The 16,211-nt window shown below is 49.8% G+C and overlaps 1 long non-coding RNA gene across 1 annotated transcript in view, besides 3 other annotated features; it reads left to right on the top strand.

Annotated features, from left to right (window-relative positions):
* Positions 4,755 to 4,824: an enhancer, noted in NCBI's record as "active region_14163". NCBI's record gives its function as "activates an Ori minimal core promoter by ATAC-STARR-seq in GM12878 lymphoblastoid cells {active_cell/tissue: GM12878}" and the evidence as "EXISTENCE:reporter gene assay evidence [ECO:0000049][PMID:35858748]".
* Positions 8,706 to 9,000: an enhancer, noted in NCBI's record as "tiled region #7322; HepG2 Activating DNase unmatched - State 8:EnhW". NCBI's record gives its function as "activates a minimal TATA promoter and a strong SV40 promoter by Sharpr-MPRA in HepG2 cells {active_cell/tissue: HepG2}" and the evidence as "EXISTENCE:reporter gene assay evidence [ECO:0000049][PMID:27701403]".
* Positions 8,754 to 8,843: a silencer, noted in NCBI's record as "silent region_10243". NCBI's record gives its function as "represses an Ori minimal core promoter by ATAC-STARR-seq in GM12878 lymphoblastoid cells {active_cell/tissue: GM12878}" and the evidence as "EXISTENCE:reporter gene assay evidence [ECO:0000049][PMID:35858748]".
* The window catches only part of LINC01841 (long intergenic non-protein coding RNA 1841), a 58,533-nt gene continuing 53,948 nt past the window's right edge, over positions 11,627 to 16,211 (top strand). The window contains exon 1 of the long non-coding RNA NR_134908.1: positions 11,627 to 11,745. This is a non-coding gene — a long non-coding RNA (long intergenic non-protein coding RNA 1841). The remainder of the gene's footprint in view (positions 11,746 to 16,211) is intronic.

Below are 16,211 nucleotides of genomic sequence, written 5' to 3'. Positions count from 1 at the left end.
GTCTCTGGTGCTGAAGGGAAGTCCAGGAGGAGCCCAAACATAAAGAGGGCAGAAGCGAGAGGCCGCGATGGCTCAGAGGGACAAGGCAACGAGGCCCCGTGCTCCGGGGCTGAGGGGGAGTGCATGTGTTTGCGACCTGGGGTGCCAGCACCTGGTTCCTCTTCTTCCTCCTTGGCCCCATGACCCACTGTGGGAAGGAAGGGGGGTTGATCTGTCAGCTCAGTGTTCTCAGCTTCTAGGAAATGAAGCCCTTCAGGAAGCAGCAGAGGCACCCCCAAACCCCAAACAAACTCTAGCACCTAGTAACCCACTTCCCCTTCCCCATGGACACTGAGTTCACTGGTTGCCCTGGCAGGGGGCGGGTGACGTGGGGTGGGGGGGCGGGGTTATAAATAGATGGTATATAAGCAACCTCGAGGATAGCTGAGCAGAAGTGGCCGAAGCAGAAGTGGGGTCCTCATGGGCAGCTGGGCCCAAAAGTGTCCCCAGTCTTGGCCCCTCCCAGAGATCACCAAGATTTGGGGCAGTAAGGAGGAAGAAAAGGGTGAAATGCTTAAAAGGGCATCATTAATCCTTCAAAGCAATCTATGAACATGATGGTCATTAAGTCATTAATAAAACCCTAGCACTTCCTCAGCGGTAACTTTATAAAGCACTTGGAATATTATACAGCTGTGAAAAAATAACTCCAGGGGTGTGCAATTTTTTGAGGGGGGGCAGGGGACAGAGTCTTGCTCTGTTGCCCGAACTAGAGTGCAGTGGCGAGATCTCGGCTCACTGCAACCTCCGCCTCCTGAGTTCAAGCAATTCTCCTGCCTCAACCTCCCTAGAAGCTGGGATTACAGGCACACGCCACCACGCCTGGCTAATTTTTGTATTTTTAGTAGAGATGGAGTTTCACCATGTTGGCTAGGCTGGTCTCGATCTCCTGACCCTCAAGTGATCCGCCCACCTCAGCCTCCCAAAATGCTGGGGTTACAGGTGCATGCCACCATGCCTAGCCACACCTCTTTCTTCAATTTAAAAACTTAGTGAAGTCAGGAGAAAAAAATCTTAAATTGCAGCGTGACAGATTCCACAGTAGAATCTTGAAAAAGTCTCCAAAGCCCCATAGGAAAAAGCCACCTTGCGAAAAAGCTCAGACACAAAGATCATAAAACGAGATTTGGTTTCAGGATACAAACATATGCAAGAAGACTTTGAAAAATAAACAAGGCGGCCGGGCTCAGTGGCTCACCCCTGTAACCTCCCAGCACTTTGGGAGACTGAGGCGGGCGGATCACCTGAGGTCAAGAGTTCAAGACCAGCCTGGCCAACACGGTGAAACCCCATCTCTACTAAAAGTATGAAAGTTAGCCAGGTGTGGTGGCAGGCACCTGTAATCCCAGCTACTCAGGAGCCTGAGGTCAGAAAATCACTTGAACCCAGGAGGCGGAGGTTGCAGTGAGCTGAGATAGCGCCACCGCACTCCAGCCTGGGTGACAGAGCAAGACTCCGTGTCAAAAAAAAACAATAATAATAAAATAAATAAATAAATAAAAATAAACAAGGCTGGGCCAGGCGCAGTGGCTCATGCCTATAATCCCAGCTACTTGGGGAGGCCAAGGTGGGAGGATCGCTTGAGCCCAGGAGTTCGAGACCATCCTGGGCAACATAGTGAGACCCCCATCTCTCCAAAAATACAAATAAAAAATTTGCCAGGTGTGGTGACTCGCACCTGTAGTCCCAGCTACTCAGGAGGCTGAAGTGGGAGGATGGCTTGAGGCCAGGAATTCGAGGCAGCAGTGAGCTGTGATCACGCCACTGCACTCCAGCCTGGGTGACAGAGCAAGACTCTGTCTCAAAAAAAAAAAAAAAATTAAGTAACTGAGCAAAGGAATAAGGGGCAAAGAATATTCGGAGTGGTGGTAATCAGCAAGATAAACATGGGAGCATGGGAACAAGGTCATATCTCAGTTCTTGGTGAAGAGGGAGGCTCATGGGTATGCCTTCCTTCCCTTTTATTTTTTAATTTACATATTTTCTTGCAAAGTAAAATTCTTTATTCCCGCAAATTGTGAATAATACACACAGAAGTTTCCAGGTATAAACGTTTCCTAAAATGATGGCTGTTTTGTGTGTGTGTGTGTGTGTGTTTTTGAGACAGAGTCTCTTGCTCTGTCGACAGACTGGAGTGTGGAGTGCAGTGGCACAATCTCGGCTCACTGCAACCTCCGCCCCCCGGTTCAAGCCATTCTCCTGCCTCAGCCTCCCAAGTGGCTGGGATTACAGGCGCGCACCACCACGCCCGGCTAATTTTTTTGTATTTTTAGTAGAGATGGGCATGGATCACTGCACCCAGCCAAAATGATGGCTGTTTAACATAACGCCATGTAACGCAGGCATGTGGTGTTTTGCGGTTATATTCAGACGTGATTTTATCAGAGACCAAAGCAAAAACAGAGAATTCTGAAAAGAGTTTGTATCAAGGAAGATAAAATGCGCCAGGGAGAGTGGCTCATGCCTGTGATCTCAGCGCTTTGGGAGGCTGAGGCGGGAGGATCCCTTGAGCCCAGGAATTCTAGACCAGCCTGGGCAACATGGTAAAACCCAGTCTCTACAAAAAATGCAAAAATTAGCCAGGAGTGGTGGCACGTGCCTGTAATCCCAGCTGCTCAGGGGGCTGAGGTGGGAGAATCTCTTGAGCCTGGGAGTTTGAGGTTGCAGTGAGCTATGATCTCACCACTGCACTCCAGCCTGGGCCACAGAGTGAGACTCTGTCTCAGTAAATAAGTAAGTAAAATAAAGCTGATCATGGATAGACCGATGGTCCCAAGAATTGCATTGTTTCATTTATTCTATAAACCTGAGGCTCTATACAAATATTTAAAAAAGAATTTTAAAATGTTTAAAGGTTTTAAGGAGAAGCGTTTAGAGGAAGCAAAGGAGAGTAGGGTGGGGGAGGGGAACAGCTCAGGGGTGGCTGTGGGGGTGGGGAACTGGTGGCAGCCAACAAGAAGCCCTGAGCTGGGAACGCTGTGTGACACTTGGTGGCATTTTTGTCACTTTCTTGCAGCTCTCAGTGTCTTCCCCATTTTGCAAAGTCTTCTGAGCGGGGTGGTGCTGATGTCCCGATAAGGATGGGGTCAGGCTTCTGGGGGGCACTGTGAGGACGGGGGTCTCAGAATCCTTCCCTTGACTTTCGATGGGTGGGGAAGGCCAGGGGAGGAAGGGGGCTTATTCAGGCTGGGTGCCCACCCGGGTCAACCCCTCCGCATGCCTCTGGGCCTCTTCTGTTGTGGGCTTGTGGGTTCCCGAGAAATAGGGCCACAGATGGCACTGACGGTCCCAGCCAGTCCCAGAAAGAAGCGATGGGAAAGCATTGGTGAGAATCAACCCATCCCCAGGGCTCTGTCCCTTGGATGGAGGTCTCCCTTTCACTTCTTTCCAGGCATAGAAAACAGTTTGCGGCTCCTCAAAAAGTTACGTGTAGAGTGACCCTGTGATCCAGCCATTCTGCTCCTGAGTATACACCTGAGAAAACTGAAGGCAGACACTCAAATGGATACTTATGTTTATTTTATTTTTTGAGATGGAGTCTCACTCTTGTCCAGGCTGGAGTGCAGTGGCGCGATCTCAGCTCATTGCAACCTCCACCTCCTGGGTTCAAGTGATTCTCCTGCCTCAGCCTCCCGAGTAGCTGAGATTACAGGCACCCACCACCATGCCCGGCTAATTTTTGTATTTTAGTAGAGAGAGGGTTGCACCGTGTTGGTCAGGCTGGTCTCAAACTCCTGACCTCAAATGATCTGCCCACCTCAGCCTCCCAAAGCGCTGGGATTCCAGGCATGAGCCACTGTGCCTGACCTCAAACAGATACTTATACACCCATGTTCATAGCAGCACGGTTCACAATTACCATAAAAAGCGATTTTTAATTCAACCATAAAAAGGAACGAGGCTCTGATCCATGCTACAGGGTGGATGAACCTTGAAAACATGATACTGAGTGAGAGAAGCCAGACACAGAAGGTCACATAGTGCACGATTCCATTTATATGAAATGTCCAGAATAGGCAAATTCATAGCCAGAAAACAGATTGGTGGTTGCCAGGGGCTGGGGAGGAGGAATGAGGAATGAGTGGTAATGAGGACGGGGTTTCCTTTTGCGGTGTTGAAAACATTCTGGAACTAGATAGAGGTGATGGTTGCTCAACGTAGTGAATGTACTAAATGGCGCTGAACCATGCACTTTAAAAGGGTCTATTTTATGTCATGTCAATCTCACCTCCATAAAAAAAAAAAACAAAAACAAAAAAAAAAAACAGGCCGGGTGCAGTGGCTCATGCCTGTATTCCCAGCACTTTGGGAGACCGAGGCAGGAAGATTGCTTGAGTCCAGCAGTTCAAGAGCAGCCTGGGCTACATATCGAGACCTCATCTCTACAAAAACTCCACAAATTAGCTGGGCATGGTAGTGTGCACCTGTAGTCTCAGCAACTTGGGAGGCAGAGGTGGGAGGATCACTTGAGCCTAGGAGGCAGAGGTGGCAGTGAGCCGAAATCGCACCACTGCACTGCAGCCAGGGTGACAGAGTGAGACTCTGTCTCAAAAAAATAAAATAAAATAAATACATAAATAAAATAGACCAGGCATGGTGGCTTATGCTTGTAATCCTAGCACTTTGGAAGGCTGAGGTAGGTGGATTACTTGAGGTCAGGCGTTTGAGACCAGTCTGGCCAACATGGTGAAATCCTGCCTCTACTAAAAGTGCAAAAATTAGCCGGGCATGGTGGCGCATGCCTGTAATCCCAGCTACTCAGGAGGCTGAGGCAGGAGAATTGCTTGAACCTGGGAGGCAGAGAGGTTGCAGTGAGCCGAGATGACGCCACTGCTCTCCAGCTTGGGCGACAGAGCGAAACTCTGTCTCAAAAAAAAAAAAAAAAAAAAAAAGAAGTCTGAGTTTTTCACAGCTATATCTCTGACACCTCTAAACACTTCAGTCGTCGCTTTCGGTTTTTAATTTCCTTCCCCATTTTTTTTCTTTACTTTTTTATAATGAGACAGGGGTCTCATTATGTTGCCCAGGCTGGTCTTGGACTCCTGAGCTCTAGCGATCCTCCCGCCTCTGCCTCCCAAACTGTTGGGATTACAGGCGTGAGCCACTGCGCCTGGCCTATTTCTTTCCCTTTTTGTCTCCTTTCAATTTTTTTTTTTAAACAAAAAGAGCAGTCTCTTTGATCCAGAGCTTCACTGGAGGGTGAGGCTGTGGATCCCAGGGTCCTGCGAGTGAGCGACTCATTATATTCTACGCCTGGGCACCTCCCTCTCCCTACCCTAGTCCCGGCTCTTGAGGCTTCAACCAGGCGACAGCAGGAAGCAAGTTTAATTTCACCCCCACCCCTACAAATATAGGTCCTTTTGCTGTTGCTTTCTACTTATGGAAATGGCCCTGGTTTCCTTTTGTTTCCTTTTGTGGTGGTGGCATAAAAGTTCCTTCCCAAATAAATTCATTTAAGTTTTTTTTTTTTTTTTAAAGGAAAAGCAAGTTGATTGAAGGAAAAATCTGTGGTCCGGGGAGATGTTCCAAATCCTGGAGGTGGAGAGGAATGAATGACGTTTGTGGCTTGCAGATCAACTCCCCGCAGCGGGCGTGACGTTGTCACAGCCAAAATTGTCCTCCACGCGCTGCTACGGTGAGTCAGGGGGAGAGGGGCCCCTCTGGGCAGACGGCAAAAGCCATTTTTGAGTGTACAAGGAGGCATTTTTCTGACAGCATTTCCTGTCGGTACCCTCCTATCTAGGGGCAAAAGTGTCACTGGGGCTTTCTGGGGCCTTTGGTGTGGGTCTTAGTGACAAAGTTCAGTGGCAATCTGGCATTCCCCTAGTGGAATTGTCACTCCCACGACAGCCTCTCATGCCCAGCTTCTGTCCGGCCCGAGGAGCCAGCTCTGGGCTGCCTGCTATCCACGAGGTCAGGCGGCCCTGACATTGGCAAGGAGATTGACACCCACACTCTGTGCTTCCTTTGAAACAGAGTTGTTAAAATTCCAGGCCAGACAAATGTCCAATAGGCCTATGAAAAGATACTCAAAGTCACCAATCATTAGGGAAATGCAAATCAAAACCACAGGCCAGGTGCGGTGGCTCACGCCTGTAATTCCAGCACTTTGGGAGGCCGAGGTGGGAGGATCACTTGAGGCCAGGAGTTTGAGACCAGCCTGGGCAACATAGCAAGACTCCATCTCTATAAATAAATGAATAAACAAATAAAAACCACAGTGAGATACTACCTAACACCCATTAGGATGGCTACTATCAAAAAAACAGAAAATAGGTTAGAAGTGGTAGCTCACAACTGTTATCCCAATGCTTTGGGAGGCCAAGGAGAGAGGATCAGTTGGGCCAGGAGTTCAAGACCAGCCTGGGCAACAAAGGAAGACTTCATTTCTAAAAATATTTAAAAATTAGCTGAGCATGGTGGCATGCACCTGTAGTCCCAACTACTTGGGAGGCCGAGGCAAGAGGATCGCTTGATCCCAGGAGGTCAAGGCTGCAGTGAGCTATGATTGCACCATTGCACTCCAGCCTGGGCAACAGAGTGAGACCCTGTCCAAAAAAAAAAAAAAAAAAAAGCAAAACAAAACAAAACCCCATAAATTGAAACCATTGTGGGCTGCTGGTGACAATGTAAAATGGTGCAGCCACTGTGGAAAACAGTATGGAGAGTCCTAAAAAAATTAAACATAGAGGCCAGGCATGGTGGCTCATGCCTGTAATCCCAGCACTTTGAGAGGCCGAGGTGGGTGGACCATTTGAGGTCAGGAGTTTGAGACCAGCCTGGACAACAATACAAAGATTAGCCGGGTGTGGTGGCAGCTGCCTCTAATCCCAGCTACTCGAGAGGCTGAGGCAGGAGAATCGCTTGAACCCGGGAGGTGGAGGTTGCAGTGAGCGGAGATCGCGCCACTGCACTCCAGCCTGGGTGACAGAGCAAGACTCCATCTCAAAAAAAAAAAAAAAATTAAACATAGAATTGTCATATGATCCATCAATTCTACTTCTGCATAGACACCCGAATTGAAAGCAAAGTTCAAAGAGACATCTGTACACCTATGTTCACGGCAGCATTAGCTAAAATAGCCAAAAGTTGAAAGCAACCAGTCTCCATGGATAGATGAATGGATAAACAAAATGTGGTCTATCTATACAGTGGAATATTACTCAGCCTTAAAGAGGAAGGAAATTCTCGTACATATAACATGAATGCACCCTGAGGGCATTATGCTAAGTGAAATAAACCTGCCACAAAAGAACAAATACCGTATGATCACATTTACAGGAAGTAACTAAACTTGTCAAATTCATAGAAACAGAAAGTAGAATTGTGGTTTCCAGGAACTGGAGGGAGGAGGAACGGGGAGTTGTTTTGTGGATACAGTTTTAGTTTTGCAAGATGAAAAAGTTCTGGAGATGAATGATGGTGTCAGTGGCAACTATGAGAATTTATTTTTTCTGGTTTTTGTTTTGTTTTGTTTTGAGACGGGGTCTTACTCTGTTGCCCAGGCCGCAGTGCAGTGGCACAATCTGGGCTCACTGCAACCTCTGCCTCCTGGGTTCAAGTGATTCTCGTGCCTCAGCCTCCCAAGTAGCTGGGATTACAGGTGTGCACAACCATTCCTGGCTAATTTTTGTATTTTTAGTACAGCCAGGGTGTCACCATGTTGGCCAGGCTGGTCTCAAACTCCTGATCTCAGATGATCTGCCCACCTCAGCCTCCCAAAGTGCTGGGATTACACGTGTGAGCCACTGTGCCCAACTGAGAATTTTCTTTTCTTTTTGAGACTGAGTCTCACTCTGTTGCCCAGGCCGGAGTACAGTGGCTCAATCTTGGCTCTCTGCAACCTCTGTCTCCTGGGTTCAAGTGATTCTCTTGTCTCAGCCTCCCAGTAGCTGGGACTACAGGTTCACACCACCGTGCCTGGCCAATTTTTGTATTTTTAGGACAGACGGGGTTTCACCATATTGGTCAGGCTGGTCTTGAACTTCTGACTTCAAGTGATCTGTCCATCTCAGCCTCCCAAAGTGCTGGGATTACAGGCATGAGCCCCCACGCCCGGCCTGACAATTTTCTTAATGTAACTGAACTGTACACTTAAAATGGTTAAGATAGAACATTTCATGTCATGTGTATTTCACCACAAATTTTATCCAGGCTGAAGGACAGGCACGGTGGCTCGCTTTGGCAGGACGAGGCAGGAGGATCGCTTAAGGCCAGGAGTTCAAGACCAGCTAGGGCAACATAGCGAGACCCGCACCCCCATCTCTACAAAAAAAGTTTAAAAATTACCCAGGCCTGATGGCACATGACTCTGGTCCCAGCTACTCGGGAGGCTGAGGCAGGAGGATTGCTTGAGCCCAAGAGGTTGAGGCTGCAGCGAACTATATGGTTGCACCACTGTACTTCGGCGAGATCCTGTCTCAAAAAAAAAATCAAAAAAAAAAAAAAATCCAGTCTCAGAGGAGACTGGGGCAGGATTCCCATCCTGTGGGTCCTGGCAGGTGACCCCCATGTGTCCTCCATAGTAGGGGGTGATCAGGCCCTCCAAGAAGTCAATACCAATTATATCCCAAAGCCTCTTACATGTCTCCACCTGGACCTCCCTGTCTACCTCCAGACATACAGCTGCCCTCTGGACCTCACCCAGGGACACTGCTATGATCACTGAGCGATTCACCAATATTCCAGCTCTTTCTCCCTCCAGGTACAAGGTAGGAAGGCATTGCTCCACCCACTTGTGTGGCCACGTGACTTGCTCTGACCAATGGCATGTGAGCAGGTTTGACTTGTGTCACTTCTGGGCAGAGGCTTTAAGAGCTGCTGCAGAGCATGCTATATGTTCTTTTTCTTCTGCCTTGGCAACGGGCAACATGCCAGATGCTGGCTGAGTGAAAAGTGAAACCTCTGATGTTTTAAGCTCCTGAGATTTGGGGCTTAAAGTAGCTGGGACTACAGGTGTGTGCCACCATGCCTGGCTCATTTTTTTCCCTGGCTTGTTACTGCAGCAGAACTGAACCTGCCTTGAGTCCAGTGTGGCAGCAGAATCTGTAGATGTCACTCATCCAGTCCTGTCTTGTGCATGACGATGGTCTCATATCATTAAGCTGTAGGGCTGGAATGAGAGGCAAGGTGGATGCTTGACTTGGGAACAAAATTTCAGGGGGTGTCAAAGAACTCAAGAACTTTGTCCTGAACTCATAAATATTATTTTATTGTGATATTTTGTAAAAGTCAAGATTAATGCAAAACCATGATGAATAAAATGGTAACATTAAATCTATCTATCTATCTATCTATCTATCTATCTATCTATCTATCTATAGATATGTATATATATACACATAGGTCAGGCGCGGTGGCTCACACCTGTAATCCCAACACTTTGGGAAGCCGATGCAGGTGGATTGCTTGAGACCAGGAGTTCGAGACCAGCCTGGCCAACATGGTGAAACCCCATCTCTGCTAAAAGTACAAAAAATTAGCAGGTCGTGATACTGCACACCTGTAATTCCAGCTACTTGGAAGGCTGACGCACGAGAATCGCTTGAACCCAGGAGGCGGAGGTTGGAGTGAGTAGAGATCATACCACTGCACTGCACTCCAGCCTGGGCAACAGAATGAGACTCCATCTCAAAAAAAAAATATATGTATATATATATACACATATATGAGAGAGACAAGGTCTCACTCTGTCACCCAGGCTGGAGTGCAGTGGCACAATCATAGCTCACTGCAGCATTGACCTCCTGAGCACAAGCAATCCTCCCACCTCAGCCTCCCGAGTAGCTGGGACTACAGGTGTGCACCACCACACCCAGCTAATGCTTGAATTTTTATAGAGATGGGGTCTTGCTATGTTGCCCAGACTGGTCTTGAACTCCTGGGCTCAAGTGATCCCTCTGTCTCAGCCTCCCAAAGTGCTGAGATTATGGGCGTGAGCCACTGCTCCTGGCATACATTGTCCTAGTCTATTGTTAGAAGCAAGTTATTGGGTCCAGCTCACACTCGAGGGATCACACAGAGTGCAGACATCAGGAGGTGGGAATCATGGAGGAGTCTTGGAGCCTGTCTGCCTCACCTCCTCTCCTCTAGTATTCCTAGTTTTTTTTTTTTTTTCGAGATGGAGTTTTGCTCTTGTTGCTTAGACTGGAGTGCAATGGCAGGATCTCGGCTCGCTACAACCTCTGCCTCCCAGGTCCAGGTGATCCTCCTGTCTCAGCCTCCCAAGTAGCTGGGATTACAGGAGCCCCCTGCCACACCTGGCTAATTTTTGTATTTTTAGTAGAGATGGGGTTTCACCATGTTGGTCAGGCTGGTCTTGAACTCATGACCTCAAATGATCTGCCTGTCTGGGCCTCCCAAAGTGCTGGGGTTACAGGCATGAGCCACCAAGCCTGGCCTCTTTGCTGATTTTCATCTGTAACTTTCACTGTAATAAACCATAACTGGGAGTAACACCACTTTTCTGGGATCTATCAATCTCAGCAAATTATTGACCCTGAGGGTGGTCTCAGGGACCCCCGACACAAGCCCCATTTCCCAGCCACCATCTTTTGCAATCTCCATTGCCCTAGTCACCGAATGGCATATTCTTATCCATTTGCTATTTCCTGCCTCTCTCCTCTGGATCAAAGGCTCTGGAAGGTCGAAAACTCATCTGTCTTTCCCATGAAAGGCTGTAGAACAAAATGGTCAGGGGTCAAGTCCTGGCCCTGTCACTTTTTCATTGTTGCTGAGTCAAGGTCTCAGCCAGGGTGGAGTGCAGCAGTGCAGTCATAGCTTACTGCAGCCTTGAACTCCCGGGCTCAAGCAATCCTCCCACCTCAGCCTCCCTTGTGGCTGGGACTACAGTCACATGCCACCACAGCCAGCTATTTTTTTTCTTTTAAGACAGGGTGTCGCTCTGTCACCCAGGCTGGAGTGCAGTGGCATGATCTCGGCTCACTGCAACGTCTGCCTCCCAGGTTCAACTGATTCTCCTGCCTCAGCCTCCCGAGTAGCTGGAATTACAGGCATGCGCCACCACGCCTGGCTAATTTTTTTTTGTATTTTTAGTAGAGACGGGGTTTCACCATGTTGGCCAGGCTGGTCTTGAACTTCTGACCTCAGGTGATCCGCCTGCCTCGGCCTCCCAAAGTGCTGGGATTACAGGCTTGAGCCACCAAGCCCGGCCCCACACCCAGCTAATTTTTATTTTTTGAGACGGAGTCTTGCTTTGTTGCCCAGGCTGGAGTGCAGTGGCACGATCTCAGCTCACTGCAATCTCCACCTCCCAAGTTCAAGCGATTCTCCTGCCTCAGCCTCCGCAGTAGCTGGGATTACAGGCATCCGCCACTACGCCAGCTAATTTTTTTGTATTTTTAGTAGAGACGAGGTTTCATCTTGTTGGCCAGGCTGGTCTTGAACTCCTGACCTCAAGTGATCCGTCAGTCTCAGCCTCCCAGAATGCCTGAAGGTTAGCTTTTAAGTGTTGGTTACTTTATCTCCTCAGTAGCTAGATCAGGGTCCAGGTGGTCAGGATTCAGTCAAAAGCAAGTGATTAAGGAGACTCCTCTGGGGACTTTGCGATGGAGAGGCAGGAGGGGCCACGAGCGGGGGTGGGGAAGAGAAGAGGGCACAGAGGCCAGCGGATGAGAGAGACACCAGGGAGCCTGGGATGCCTGCCCGAGGCTCTGGCCACGCCCATGCCCTGCCTGTCCCGCTAAGGTGAGCTGGTCCTTCTGTGATCACCCGGGGAGGAGGCCTACAGGAGCTGCAGAGCTGAGTAGAGAGGGAAGGCGCGGGGGAGGCCAAGTCCCACGGGTCTGGGCTTCTAGGAGGAAACGTGTGGGAGGTTGGGACGGGAGGCGTGGGGGCGGGGGACAGGCAGGGCAGCTGGAGCCGGGGCTGTAGTCGGGCGCCGGCCAAGCCCCAAAGAAAGCCTGTGTTGGGCAGCGTCCGGTCTGGCCTGGCCTGGGAGGATGCCTGCTTGCTGCTGGGGGGCCCTGGAGATGCCGACGTAGCTCTGTACCCCCGGGAGGAATGTGACCCCCTCCCCACCCCCAGCCTCCAAATTTTTCCACATAAGGCTTCAGGGGTGCTCATGCCGCATGAGTTCAGGACAAAGGAATCAAAAGCACATGGACTGGATTCCCTAGGGAGGAGAAATTCTGGAAATAAGACGAAGAGGAGGACAAAGGGGCCCGGGGGCGGGGTGAGGGTGCTGGGACGGAAGCGGGGGGCGGGGATTGGGAGGCAGCCGGAGAAGGTGCCTGGCTCTGAGTGGCCTTAGACTGGGGACACATCTCAGCTGGGGATGAAGGCCACTGTGGCCCCGGACCGCCAGGGCAACTCCTTGGACCTCTCTGAGCCTTGTTCCTTCCTTTTTTTTCTTTTTTCTTTTTTTTTTGAGACGGAGTCTTGCTCTGTCACCCAGGCTGGAGTGCAGTGGCGCGATCTCGGCTCACTGCAAGCTCTGCCTCCCAGGTTCACGCCATTCTCCTGCCTCAGCCTCCCGAGTAGCTGGGGCTACAGGCGCCCCCCACCACGCCCGGCTAATTTTTTGTATTTTTAGTAGAGACGGGGTTTCACCGTGTTAGCCAGGATGGTCTCAATCTCCTGACCTCGTGATCCGCCCGCCTCGGCCTCCCAAAGTGCTGGGATTACAGGCGGGAGCCACCGCGCCCGGCCACCTTGTTTCCTTTCTTTTGGCCCAGATTCTTGGGGCAAAATACTTGGAGTCCTCCATGTCTCTGTCTCTGTTTTATTTTGTTCTCTCTTTCTGTTTCCTTCTTTCTTCTCTTTCTTCGTTCTCTGTCTCTCCTTCCTTCCTTCCTTCCTTCCTTCCCTCTCTTTCTTTCTTCTCCTTCCTTCTTTCTTTCATCTATCTCTGTCTCTCCTCCCTTTCTTTCTCCTTCCTTCCTTCCCTCCCTCCCTCCATTTCTTCCTTCCTTCCTTCCTTCCTTCCCTCTTTCTTCTCCTTCCTTCTTTCTTTCTTTCCTCTATCTCTATCTCTCCTCCCTTTCTTTCTCCTTCCTCCCCTCCCTCCCTCCCTCCCTCCCTCCCTCCCTCCCTCCCTCCCTTCCTTCCTTCCTTCCTTCTCCTTCCCCGGTCTCACTTTGTTGCCCAGGCTGGTCTTGAACTCCTAGGCTTCAGTGACCCTCCTGCCTCTGCCCCACAAAGTACTGGGATTACAGGCATGAGCCACCATGCCTGGCCTCTATCTCTGCCCCTGTCCCTTTCTCTCTCTCTCTATTGTATCAGCAAATCCCGAGAGCTCTATTTTCAAAATCTATCCAGCATCTACTCACTTTTCACCTCCTCCACAGCCCCTACCTGGTCCGGCCCCATCAACTCCCCCTTGGCCCAGTGCAGACTCCTCTGCCCTGGTCTCCTGGCTCCTGCCCTTGCTCGCCCGCTCCATGCTTTTCTGTCAGGGCACGTCCCTCCTCTGCTCAAGGACCCTCCAGGGCTCCCACCTCACTCAGTGCAAAAGCCAAATTCCTTCTTGTGGCCCACAGGGCCCTGCAGGATCTGCTCAGCACTTATCTGCCCTCACCTCCTCCTTCTCTCCCCTTTGCTCATTCCCTTCAGCCAGGCCAGCTTCCTCGCCGTTTTGGGCATGCTCCTACCTTAGGGGCTTTGCACGGCAGCTCACTCTCACTTGCAGCACCACCTCCTCCTCCAGATCCCCACATGGCTTTCTCTCGCCCCCTTCAGGTCTTTTTTTTTTTTTTTTTGAGACAGAGTCTCATTCTGTCACCCAGGCTGGAGTGCAGTGGCACAATCTCAGCTGGCTGCAGCCTCCGCCTCTCGGGTTCAAGTGATTCTCCTGCCTCAGCCTCCTGAGTAGCTGGGATTACAGGCACGCACCACCACACTCAGGTAATTTTTGTATTTTTTTTTTTTTTTGAGACAGAGTCTTGCTCTGTTGCCCAGGCCAGAGTGCAGTGGTGCGATCTCGGCTCACTGCAAGCTTCGCCTCCCAGGTTCACGCCACTCTCCTGCCTCAGCCTCCCTAGTAGCTGGGACTACAGGCACCCGCCACCACGCCCAGCTCATTTTTTGTATTTTTAGTAGAGACAGGGTTTCATCGTGTTAGCCAGGATGGTCTCGATCTCCTGACCTCGTGATCCGCCTGCCTCGGCCTCCCAAAGTGCTGGGATTACAGGCGTGAGCCACCGCGCCCGGTTGTAATTTTTGTATTTTTAGTGGAGACAAGGTTTCACCACGTTGGCCAGGCTGGTCTCAAACTCCTGACCTCAGATGATCTGCACGCCTTGGCCTCCCAAAGTCCTGGGATTACAGGTGTGAGCCACCATGCTTGGCCCAAGTCTTTTGTTCGTTTGCTTTTAAAGAGATGTATATATTAGTTCTTTATTTCTCTTTTTTCTTTTTATTTTGAAACAGGGTCTTGCTCTGTCGCTCAGGCTGGGGTGCAGTGGTGCGATCATAGCTCACTGCAGCCTCCAGCTCCTGGGCTCAAGCAATCCTCCTGCCTCACCCTCCTGAGTAGCTGGGACTACAGGTCTGCACTACCATGCCAGGCTAATTTGGTTTATTTAATTAAATGAATACATAAATTTATTTGTTTGTTTTGGTTTCTATCTACAGACCAGGACAGTGCTGAACATTTTGAGACAGGGTTTCACTCTGTTACCCAGGCTGGAGTGCAGTGGTGCAATCTCAGCTCACTGCAGCCTCAACCTCCTGGGTTCAAGTGATCCTTCTGCCTCAGCCTCCTGAGTAGCTGGGACTACAAGTGTGCACCACCACACTTGACTAATTTTGTTTATTTTATTTTTTGTAGAGATAGGGGTCTTGCTATGTTGCCCAGACTGGTCACAAACTCCTGGTCTCAAGCGATCTTCCTGCCTCAGCTTCCCAAAGTGCTGAGATTATAGGCCTGAGTCACCGTGCCTGACCACCCTGCTGGACTTTTTTTCTTTCTTTTTTTTTTTTTTTTTATTTTGAGATGGAGTCTCACTCTATCACCCAGACAAGTGCAGTGGCACAATCTTGGCTCACTGCAACCTCTGCCTCCCGGGTTCAAGCAATTCTCCTGCCTCAGCCTCCCGAGTAGCTGGGATTACAGGCATGCGCCACCACGCTCAGCTAATTTTTGTTTTTTTTTTAGTAGAGATGGGGTTTCCCCATGTTGGCCAGGCTGGTTATGAACTGAGCTCAAGTGATCTGCCTGCCTCAGCCTCCCAAAGTGCTGGGATTACAGGTGTGAGCACCGCGCCCGGCCCACCCTGCTAGATTTTAGTTCTTGATCTTGCTCCCTCTCTGTCTCCCCCTGAGAATGTCAGCCCCAGGATATTTGTCTATTTTATTTCCTGCTGTGCCTCCAGAGCTCAGAAAAGGGTTGGGGACTGTAGGGACTTGTTGAGTCAATAGATCGGATGGTGACAAGCCCATAGCCGAATTTTTAGGGCAACATTTTTTTTTTTTTTTGAGATGGGGTCTTGCTCTGTCACCCAGGCTGGAGTGCAGTGGCGTGATCTCAGCTCACTGCAAGCTCTGCCTCCAGGGTTCCTGTCATTCTCCTGCCTCAGCCTCCCAAGTACCTGGGACTACAGACGACCGCCACCACGCCCAGCTAATTTTTTGTATTTTTAGTAGAGACGGGGTTTCGCCGTGTTAGCCAGGATGGTCTTGATCTCCTGACCTTGTGATCCGCCCACCTCGGCCTCCCAAAGTGCTGGGATTACAGGCATGAGCCACCACGCCTGGCCTAGGGCAACATTTTTATAGCCTTATTGAGGAATAACTTATATAGCCTATAATTCGCCCATTACAAACCTACAGTTAGATGACTTTTAGTAAACTCACCTAGCTGTGCAAGTATTACTACAATACAGCATTTGAGAACACTTTGATTTCCCCCCAAATCCCCACATTAGCAATCCATCCGCACTCCCAGCCTCAGCTCCAGGTAATCACTAATCTGCTTTCTGTCTCTAGAGCTCTGCCTTTTCTAGAAATTTCATATAAATGGAATTGTACAATATGTAATATTGTGGGTCTGGCTTCTTCCACTCGGCATATTTTTGAGGTTTATCCATGTTGCTGTGTTTATCAACAGTTTGTTGCTTTCTATTGCTAACCAGTGTTTCCTTGCATGGGAGGACCACAGTTGTTTGTCCATTCATCTGTTGATGGACACTTGAATTTGTCAACATAAAAGAGGC

This window comes from Homo sapiens, chromosome 19 (assembly GCF_000001405.40).
Source record: "Homo sapiens chromosome 19, GRCh38.p14 Primary Assembly".
NCBI classification, from domain to species: Eukaryota; Metazoa; Chordata; class Mammalia; order Primates; family Hominidae; genus Homo; species Homo sapiens.
Note: the sequence above shows the minus strand (reverse complement) of the source record. Positions and strands in the feature narration are given on the sequence as shown.